Below are 11599 nucleotides of genomic sequence, written 5' to 3' on the forward strand. Positions count from 1 at the left end.
AAAAAATACAAAAATGAGCCTGGTACAGTGGGATGCACCTGTAATCTCAGCTATTTGGGAGGCTGAGGCAGGAGAATCGCTTGAACCCGGTAGGTGGAGGTTGCAGTGAGCTGAGATTGTGCCACTGTACTCCAGCCTGGGCCACAGAGCAAGACTCTGTCTCAAAAAAACAAAAAGAAATGCAGAATCCCAGGCCCCACCCTGGCCCTCCTGAATCAGGCTCTGCTTTTTACTGAACGAGATCCCCAGGTGCTCCTTTGCTCACTGAGGTTTGAAAAGCGCTGAGGCTGGGTCCCGCAGGCAGGAGGAGGACTTTGGGTTTCATCTGCAGTGCGATGAGGGCCTTTGGGAGGGGGCTGTGGAGCAAAGGCAGATGTGATGGAATCTCTGTTTTCGGAGTCTGCTCAGGCTGCTGGGTCCAGGATAGCTCTGGGTACTGAGTGGTTGTCGGGAGAACAGTGAGGAGGCCATTGGTACTCAGGCCAGGGATGGCCACGGGCCACCAGCTCATGATGGGTGAACAGTGACACCTGGAGCTCTGCTGCCATGAGTGCCCAGCTCAGGGACTTTGGGGTGGGGATGGGGGGCCCCTTCCTTCCTCTCCCCTCCCCTCCCAAGAGACTGCAGTCACCGGAGCCAAATCCCAGCAGGTCTGTGCTCACTGCTGAGCTGTTCTGCCTCCTTCCTGACCCTTCCTCCAGCTCTTGAGCAGGATTTTAATACCAATGACTTGGTGTGATTGACACACACAAATGCATGTGCACACAGACACACGTGGACTCACACACGTACATGGCTTTGCGGGACAATTGGCTACTTTCCCCTGAGCAGAACAAGCTGGCAGTGTTTAGCCAGGGAGATTTGGAAAACTGCCTGGTCTAGTGGAAAAAAGTGTTCCACGAAGTTTAACATCAGCTGCCCTGGAGGGTCTCTTCGTGGAGACAGGCTCCTGGGAAAACATGAGTTGTATGCGATGGCCGACTGGGCAGTTTGCCTGGCCAGAGGCAACAGAGAGGAGAAAACAGGCATCAGGTGAGTGGAAAATCCCTGTAGGGAGAGGACCCATGGGGACCATGGTCCAGGAAAGCAAATCTGCAAAGGCCAGAGACGATTTAAAACCCTCATAAAACACGTCCCCTTCCTAATACAGAACATTTGCCAAGAGGGCCCCTTTCCTCCTCGGTGAGGCCTGGTGGGTAAAACTGGACATATAAAAGCAGGTTAGACGGCTCCCCTCAGTCCAAGGAATGCCTCCCCCATGCCCCGCCACAGGTGAGTATTTTCCATGGAACTGCGTCTGTCTCTTCTGGGCATGGGCTTAGGTTTTTTTTCATTATTGTTTGGAATCCCAGGCCGAGGCAGCAGGGAAGTAAGTTCTTTTGGCTCCATAGGAGGGGTGCTGGGGCAGCCGTGTTTATTCTGGCTGCCAGGGTCGGGTGGAAATGCAGGCGGGAGCCAAGGCTGAAACATGGCAGGAACACGGAGGAGTGGGAGGGATGTGCTTAGCAAGGGAACAGGCCCCAGGGTGTCACCGTGTCACCTGAGAAAGTTTGGGCCGAGGCCAGAGGGCACCCACCGGTCCTCACCTGTGTCCTGCCTCTGGGCCGGTCATGTCATTCTAAACCAGGGCGTGGAGTATGGGTTTGAGATTAGCATGGCTGGGGTAAGATCCAAGCTCTGCCGCTTATTATCTGTGTAAATCCGGGCAGATGATTTGCCTCTCTGAGCCTCAGTTTCCTCATCCCTAAAGTGGGAATGTTGTCACTACTGAAATGACATCTCTGCAGGGCCTGGGGTGGGGCCTGGCAGGGAGATGCTAGTGGTCATTTGTGTCCTTCTCCTGGCTTCATGTCCTCAAGGAACACACTCTCTGGGGTGGGGCTGGGGCTGAGGGGGGAGCCTGGGAGGCAGGGACAGAGAGTCATGGGGGTGACAGAGAGAGATGGTGGGAGACAGAGCTGGGGCCATGGGAATGCTAAATCCTTACCCTAAACCAAGAGTCAGCGGACCTTTTCCATAAAGGGGCCACATGAATCTCTCAAAACAACTCACCTCTGCTGTTCTAGCATGAAAGCAGTGACCAACTGGAAATGAATGAGTTGTGGGCGTGTTCCAATAAATCCTTATTTATGAACACAGGCATTTGAATTTCATGCAACTTTCACACGTCATGAAATATCATTCTTGTTTTGATTATTTTCCAACCATTTAAAACTGAAAACCACTCAGACTTGCAAACTGCATAAAAAAAGGCAGTGGTCCAGATTTGGTCTGTGGACTGTTTTCAGTTTGTCAACGTCTCTCCTCTACCACTAGCAAGCTAGCAAACTTCAGTCTGTCAAGTCCTAAGAAATAAATGAAGCAGTCTCAGGAAGGCAAAATCTACTTTCCAGGCTGGGCACGGTGGCTCATGCCTGTCATCCCAGCACTTTGAGAAGCCGAGGCAGGAGGATCACTTGAGTCCAGTAGCTCAAGACCAGCAACTTAGTGAGTTCAAGGACAACACAGTAAAACCCCATCTCTAAAAATATAGAAAAATTAGCCAGGTGCAGTGGTGCATACCTATAGTCCCAATTACTCAGGAGGCTGAGGCAGGGGGATTGCTTGAATCCAGGAGGTGGAGGCTGCAGTGAGCTGTGATTGTACCACTGCACTCTAGCTTGGATGACAGAGTGAGACCTTGTCTCAAAAAAAAAAAAAAAAATCTGCTTTTCTGTCTATACTCTTTCTGGAAATACATTCACAAAGACCCAGGTTTTTGTTTTTTTGTTTGTTTTTAAATAAAGTGTTACTGTCACCCAGGCTGGAATGCAGTGGTGCAGTCATGGCTCACTGCAGCCTCCACTTCTGGGGCTCAGTCGATCTTCCTGCCTCAGCCTCCTGAGCAGCTGAGACTACAGGCACGCACTGCCACAGCTGGCTGATTTTTGTATTTTTTTTTTTTTTTGTAGTTATGGGGCCTCACCATGTTGCCCATGCTGCCTCGAACTCCTAGGCTCAAGCAATCCGCCCATCTTGGCCTCCCAAAGTGCTGGAACTACAGGCGTGAGACACCATGCCCGGCCTAACCCAGGTTTTAATATCCACTGTAAGAAGAAGTTGTTAAAGAGGTCACGCAGGAGACTGATTTCATTGAGAGGTTAAAACAAAACAAAACAAAACAAAACAAAAGCCCGTGACTCTAGTGATGGATTTGTCATCACAAGGAGCTACCATTTATTGAGTGCTTCCCATACCCTGGTACTTCTTTCGCTCCTTAAAGGTAATATCTCATCTGGTCCTAACTGAACTGATGAGGACAGAGACCTCCAAAGATTCAATAACTTGCCCAAGGCCACTGCTTCTAACTGCCTCTGACAATGGGCCTCTCTCAGGATTTATGATGTCGCTGCCATTTTTTAGAAGGGCTCTCTAAGATGGCAAGCATAGCCCAGTCCCTGCCTTCAGGTGGGGAGGCAGACAGGAGGCTCCCTGGCTTTGCATGAATATCCTGGGTCCTCAGCCACCTGTGTCCACGTTACGGTTAGGGTTAGAGTTAGAGTTAGGGCTAGGGTTAGCTTGCCTGTCATCCGGCTTGTCTCTCTCCGTGGGCAGAGTGCATAAAGGTGCTTCCTGCCAGCCATGGCTCCCTTCAATGACTACTCTATCATTGAAAAGCTCTGTTTGGCCAATTATTTCAATATCTTTTTTCTTTTTTTTGAGTTAGAATCTTGCTCTGTCACCCAGGCTGGAGTGCAGTAGCACGGTCTCAGTTTACTGCAACCTCTGCCTCCCGGGTTCAAGCGATTCTCCTGCCTCAGCCTCCCGAGTAGGTGAACTACAGGAGCCCGCCACCATGCCCGGCTAATTTTTGTATTTTCAGTAGAGTCGGGGTTTTGCCATGTTGGCCAGGCTGGTCTCAAACTCCCAACTTCAGGTGATCCACCCACCTCCACCTCCCAAAGCGCTGGGATTACAGGCGTGAGCCACTGCGCCCGGCCTATTTCAATATCTTAATGCATGTTGCCCTAATCAGTTTATAAAAACAAGTAGAAAACAGACAAATTGGAAGTGCATAAATTTGTAATATGAAGATTATGTCTCAAACTCAAGAAACTTAATTATTTTACCTTTTACTGAATGCTTACTAGATGCCAGGTGCAGTGCGTCATGTGGAGTATCTTACTTGGCTGCGACAGCCTGCTGCTGAGGGGACACCATTGCTGTTCCCATTTCACAGATTAGGAAACTGAGGCCCAGAGAGGACGGGGTAACATGTCAAAATCATGCAGTTTTAAGTGGCGTTACTGGAACACAGGTGGAACAGGCAGATCCTCTGGATGTTATGAACCTGCAGCCTCAGTCAGGTGCTAGTTGGGTTTTTGATGGGCAGAAGAAAACAAGGACAACAAAACGCAAAAAACGTGCACACTGGGCCAGGCGTGGTGGCTCACACCTGCAATCCCAGCACTTTGAGAGGCTGAGGTGGGTGGATCACTTGAGGTCAGGAGTTTAAGACCAGCATGGCCAACATGGTGAAACCCCGTCTCTACTAAAAATTAGAAAAATTAGCCGGGCATGGTGGAAGATACCTGTAATCCCAGCACTTTGGGAGGCTGAGGCAGGAGGATTGCTTGAACCGAGGAGATGGAGGTTGTAGTGAGCCAATATAGCACCACTGGACTCCAGCCTGGGTGACAGAGTGAGACTTTGTCTCCAAAAACAAACAAACAAAACGTGCACACTGGCCAAGCGTGGTGGCTCACACCTGTAATCCCAGCACTTTGGGAGGCTGAGGCAGGTGGATCACTTGAGGTCAGGAGTTTAAGACCAGCGTGGCCAATATGGTGAAACCCCATCTCTACTAAAAATTACAAAATTGGCCAGGCATGGTGGCATGCACCTGTAATCCCAGCTACTCAGGAGGCTGAGGCAGGAGAATTGCTTGAACCCAGGAGGTGGAGGTTGTAGGGAGCCAAGAGAGCACCACTGCACTCCAGCCTGGGCAACAGAGCAAGACTTTGTCTCAAAAAACAAACAAGGAAACAAAAAAACTGTGCACACTGGCCAGGTATGGTGGTGGCTCACATCTGTAATCCCAGCACTTTGGGAGGCCACGGCAAGCAGATTGCTTGAGTCCAGGAGTTTGAGACCAGCCTGGGCAACATGGTGAAACCCTGTCTCCACTAAAAATGCAAAAATTAGCCGGGCGTGGTGATGTGTGCCTGTAGTCCCAACTACTCGGGATGTTGAGGTGGGAGAATCACCTGAGCTGGGGGAGTTGAGGCTGCAGTGAGTCGTGATCTCACCACTGCACTCCATCCTGGGCAACCGGAGTGAGATCCTGTCTAAAACGAAACAAAACAAAACAACAAAAAGTATATTGACAGTATACTACATTGTTAAAAATTTAGTCTAGGAAGCAAGGTATAATTGGGAATTGTATTATTATTATTTTTCAGCTGCCTGGGAATAGAAGTCAATTTTTCCGTATTGATAGCAGTGAAATTCTTACAGGGTTAGGATACAAAATTGAATCACCAGTATGATCCTGTTTTTGGAATGAAAAGCCCCATAGTGTATGTCCATATTTATTTAGTTACTGTTTGGTTGGGATTTACTGTGTGTCAGGTTGTACACTAAATGCTTTATATTCATTTAATCTCATTTAACCAAAAGAACTCCCTGGAGGTAGGATCTATAGTCTCCTTTTACATCGCTGGAAATGGAGGTAAAGCAACTTGGCCAAGTTCACGGAGCCAGTGAGTGGCAAATAAGGGATTAGAATTCAGCTCGGTTTTACATCAAAGCCCATTGTCTCTGCTTCTGTCTCTGCTCCCTGCTCTGAAGCTCTCTGTCTCTCTGTGAGCACACACATGCCTGCACACAGAAAAAAGACAGGAAGGAAACACAGAATGTTGACAGTGGCTGTCTGTGGATGATGGCAGTACATGTGATTTTATCTTCTTTTAATGCCTTTTTACATATTCTCTATGTTTTATAATGAGTTTCTATGAAAAAAAATCCACCGTATGATCTTCTGTAAAAGCATGCTTGTTTTACAGTCCAGGGGTAAGGCCAGAGAGCCCCTGACCACGGGCCTCTGAAACACTCTCCTAAAAAATAAGACAGAGAGGGGAGCCAGGACCTTGGCTTCTTGGAACTGCCTAATCCGTCCTATAATACCTTGCTTTGTAGGAAAGTTCTGTGCATAAATCCCATAAAATCCCATAATGTGGTGCTGACACTGAGCCTCCCCAGAACAAAATCCGCTAATGATCACTGCTCGCCAGGAGCCTGCAGAAAGCCATCAGACATGTTGCAACCCCCCATGCCTGCCTCCTGCCTAAGCCCTTTCTAATAAGGACTCTTTTCATGAGTTCATAAAAACACTTTGTTCAGATCATGTTGGGTCTTTATTTCATTTTTTTTTCTTTTTTTTGAGACAGAGTCTCGCTCTGTCACCCAGACAGGAGTGCAGTGGCGTGATCTCGGCTCACTGCAAGCTCCGCCTCCTGGATTCATGCCATTCTCCTGCCTCAGCCTCCCGAGTAGCTGGGACTACAGGCGCCCACCACCACGCCCGGCTAATTTTTTTTTTTAAATATTTTTAGTAGAGACGAGGTTTCACCGTGTTAGCCAGGATGGTCTTGATCTCCTGACTTCGTGATCCATCCGCCTTGGCCTCCCAAAGTGCTGGGATTACAGGCGTGAGCCACCATGCCTGGCCTATTTCATCTTAGTCAAACACTGAACATCTATGGGGCCAGAAGGGGTTGAGGGCTGCCCTTCAGTTTTGGGACCCAGAGAGAAAAAAACAACAGATTTGTAAAACCAGGAATGAATACCTCCCTCCTCACCCTGTTGCTTACCCTGTTGCCTCACCCTGGGATAGGACCTTTCTAAGGTTGCTTTAGGGGATGAGAGTGGCCTCACCTGCAAAAAGGTCAGGAGTTCGAGACTAGCCTGGCCAATGTGGTGAAACCCTGTCTCTACCAAAAATACAAAAATTAGCCAGGCGTGGTGGCGGGTGCCTGTAGTCCCACCTACTCGGGAGGCTGAGGCAGGAGAATTGCTTGAACCTGGGAGGCGGAGGTTGCAGTGAGCCGAGATCGTGCCACTGCACTCCAGCCTGGGCGACAGAGCAAGACTCTGTCTCAAAAAAAAAAAAAAAAAAAAAAAGAAAAAGAAAAGAAAAACCTCTAACCTCCAAGTCTTCAACAAGATTGATTTGTATAATAACTCTGTCTCCTGCATGGTATGGCCAGTCTCGGGTCAATTAAACTCTTTGTTTACTGCAATGCCATGGTCTCAATGGATTGGTTTTGTCTGTGCAGCAGGCAGGAAGAACCCACTGGGTGGTTACCAAACAACCCAATGTACGTGGCAGGTACAAACTCATTTTTCCAGATCAAGAAACTGAAGATAGAGAGGAGAAATAACCTGTCCAAATCTTGTGTGTGATTGGCAACCTCTTGAGGAGTAGGAACTGGATCAGCTTTGTGGACACGTGACCTGGGCTGTTCCACAGGCCCCCACACTGAGGAGGGCCCCACGCCTGTTTCAGTGGTCTGCTGTGGAAATCCTTAATTTTTTTTTTTTTTTTTTTTGAGACAGAGTCTCACTTTGTTGCCCAGGCTGGAGTGCAGTGGCGCAATCTCAGCTCACTGCAACTTCTGCCTCCCGGGTTCAAGTGATTCTCCTGCCTCAGCCTCCCTAGTAGCTGGGATTACAGATGTGCACCACCATGCCCAGCTAATTTTTGTATTTTTAGTGGAGAACAGGTTTCACCATGTTGGTCAGGCTGGTCTTGAACTCCTGACCTCGTGATCCACCCACCTCTGCCTCCCAAAGTGCTGGGATTACAGGCGTGAGCCACTGCGCCTGGCCTGTGGAAATCCTTAATTTGTGAATGAGGTGCCTGCATTTCATTTTGCACCTGCAAATGATGTAGCTGGTCCTGCATGTGGCCCCTTTCCCAGACCGTGACCTATTAGGGCTGTGCACCCAATGAAGATGGCTGTCAGAATGCCAGAAACACTTTATGGCATGCGTTTATTTACTTGTCGCTCTCCCCACTCTTCCACCCCTTCCAGCCTGGGGACTGTTTGGGGGCAGCACAGAGGAGATGTGCAGGAAATGTTTGTTGAATGAATTTTCTCATGAATGAATGGACTGTTGATTCAACCAAGACAAAGGAAGGCCAGGTGCCCATTGGTGGAGGTTTTCTCTCAGGCTGGCCTGGGGGCAAAGCAGACACTTGCCTTGCTCTGCCTCTCTACTGCTCCCAAATTTACTGTTTCAAATTAGCTTCTGGTTGGTGGCCTTGGCAGGTTGGGGAGGAGGGTGAGGGGAAGGCACTGGGAGGAAACAAAGGCTTCTGTTAAGAATAGGGGCAGGTGTGGAGCAGGGAAGCTCTGCTGTTTTGCATAAAACCAGGAGCCAGCCCTCTGCTCTCCTAAGCCTCAAGCACTCCTCAAAGACCACCTGGCTTCAGGAATCCTGGGGCAGCTTACACGCTGGACTCCCCATTGACCCATCTTAGCTGCCCCTTTGTCTCCTTTCAGAAGGGTGCAGAGGCCCCCCAGAGAGCTTCCTTGTGATAGGGGCTGGGCAGTCAGCCAGACCCTCCTCATTTCTATTTACCCTTCAACAGAAGGTGGGGGCAGTCAAATGCCACCTCCTCCCAGAGTCCTCCCAGGTTTCCCCAAGGCTAAGTGTTTTCATTACCCTTGGCATGTTTACCACCCTGAGCTTCTAATGAATTCAAAATAATGTTTTTGGGCAACCTTCACAAGAATTGACTCCCAAGATGGTGAGGACACAGATAATCAATGTGGCTACATTCAATTCTGGCAAAAAGATCCGATGAGCTGGGACGACTGTGATCCCCCCAACCCCTGCATATCTGCAGGACTCGCTCCTCCACCTTCTACAGGTCTCAGCTCAGTGTCACTGAGGACTTCACTAACACTGTAATGACGGCAGCGGCAGGCCATCTGGAGTGGCTACTGCCATCATGCCAGCTGCAGCAGGGAGGCGAGGCTGGGGCTGCATGTTCCATGGAGCTGGTGGGAGCTGGGGACAAGCAGGAGTCCCATCCCTCTGTGTTGGGGCAGGAGCTCCCCGGCTGCTGCTGCAGCCATCAAAGCCAAAGCTGTGGACCAAGGCATCCCTGTACTCTCGGGGCCCAAGAGCAGGCAGGAGCCCTGCCCTCTGGGGACAGATGCAGCCACCCAAACCTTGGCTGCAGACCCAGGCCTCATGCTCCGCAGAGCAGGCAGGAGCCCCATACCCCTGGGTGCAGGTGCAGCTACCCAAACTGCAGCTGCAGACCCAGGCATCCCCGCACTCTTGGGGTCCAAGAAGGTCCCCCACCCTCGCAGGCTCAGAAGTGCCTGCTCCCGCTGCCTGGCTTCTCCCTGCTGTTGGTGCCAGCTCTGATCTCAGAGCAAAGTCGGGGCTGAGTCTGGGTGCTGTTGCAGCCGGTCTGGATCTTCGCACACTCAGGGCAGTGTTGACATGCTAGCCCCTTGCTGCCTTGGCCCCCTCTGGACTTTGGGAACCAACAACCTTAGGAGGGAAGCCAAGGGGGGCTGAGGGCAGCAGGCACCCTTTGGCACCTACAGCCTAGGTGCCAAAAACAGCAGCAGGAGGCAGACAGGTTCCTTAGCAGAAGGGGGTGGTGAGACCCCAGTGAGACCTTACCTTCAGGCTAGGAGAGTCTGAAAACTGGGGGCTGGGCTGCCAGTTCTGCAGAGCAGGAACTTGTGGTGCCTTTTCCGGGCCCACCTATGGCCACCCATGGACCAATCAGCGTGCAATTCTTCCCCTCTGAGGCCCATAAAAGCCCCAAGATCAGCCAGAGCTGAGCGGATGTCAGGATGACCAGCTGCAGAGTAGCTACCCACTTCAGGGCCTCCTCTCTGTTGAGAGCTACAGAGACGATGGGATGACCTGCCTGCAGAGATGAGCCACCCACTCTATGGTCTCCTCTCTGCTGAGAGCTGCACAGATGACTGGATGACCAGCTGCAGAGAGGAGCTACCCTCTCCGCTAGGAGCTGAACACTTGTGGGAACACCCTGGCTGCAGAAAGGAGCTGCCCCCTGCCAGTTTCCTCTGAGCTGTTCTATTGCTCAATAAAGCTCCTCTTCATCTTGCACTTCCTCTTGTCTGTGTACCTCATTCTTCCTGGTTGCAGGACAAGAACTCAGGACCCACCGAATGGTGAGACTAAAAGAGCTGTAACACAAACAGGGTTGAGACATGCCCCTTGCTTGCCATGCTGTGGGTGAAGAGAAGGAGAGAAGAGCTGTGGCCCTTCAGGGAGCCCAGACCTGAGAGCTCCCTAAGCCAGGGCTGTGACTCCCTCTTTTGGGCCCTGCAGTTCCTGGTGTCTCCAAGCTTCTGAATGCCACTGTGTTCCCTGGTGCCAACTGTGGAAGCTACTTGCAGCGTGCCTGGTCTGGCTGCAGCCTCGCAGAGAGCCAGCGACTTTGCCGGCACCTGGAGCTGCTCATCCTGCTGCAGCAGCTGGCATGTCTGTCTGTGCACAGTGGCCGGACCCTGTACCTACTCATACACCCCTTGCCATTCCTCCTCTGATTTGCAGGTGTGGGACCCAGGCCAGCAGTGTGAGCTGAGCTCAACCTGCCAGGCCAAGTAGGTGAAGGAAACCCAGCGGGCCTGAGCAAAACCTGGGCAAAGGCGCCCCCAGCCACAGAGGTTTCCGGCCAGAAAAATGACAACCTAAAGATCCCATAACAGTAATGTTCCCCCATTCTGCACCCCCCATCTCCTCCTTTGCCTTTTCTCTGGAGCACTTCTCTTGGGAGCACATGGATGCTGCTTTAATAGCTGTGTTATTCATAATGACCAACAAACAGAAACAACACAAATGTCTGCAGATTAATGAATGGATGAATAGAATGTGGCAAATCCATACAGTGCAATATTATTTGGCAGTGAAAAGGAATGAAATATACTGTATATGCATTAGCCTTGAAACATAAGTGAAAAAGCTAGTCACAAAGACCACACGTTGTCCAATTCTGTTTCTATGAAATGTCCAAAACAGGCAGCCATAGAGACAGAAATCAGGTCAGTGGTTGCTAGGGCATGGGGGAGGGGGAAAGGGGAGTGACTGCTACTGGCGACAGAATTTAAGAGGGGAGATGGTAAAAATGTTCAAAAATTGATTGCAGTGATGGCTGCACCACTCTATAAATATACTAAAACCCATTAAATTGTACACTTAAGTTTTTTTCGTTTCCTTTTTGTTTTTTGAGACAAGATCTTGTTTTATCACCTAGGCTGGAGTGCCGTGGTGCAATCACGGCTCACTGCAGCCTCTGCCTCCCAGGGCTTAAGCGATCCTCCCACTTCCCTCTCCTGAATAGCTGGGACCACAGACTCTCACCATCACACCCAACAAGTTTTTGTGTTTTTTTTTTTTTTTTTTTGGAGACAGGGTCTCCCTATGTTGCCCAGGCTGGTCTTGAACTCCTGGGCTCAAGCAATCCACCTGCCTTGGCCTCCCAAAATGCTGGGATTACAGGCAGGAGCCACCACAACAACCTTGAATTATACATTTTAAACAGGTGAATTGTATGGTATGT

This window comes from Homo sapiens, chromosome 1 (assembly GCF_000001405.40).
Source record: "Homo sapiens chromosome 1, GRCh38.p14 Primary Assembly".
NCBI lineage: Eukaryota > Metazoa > Chordata > Mammalia > Primates > Hominidae > Homo > Homo sapiens.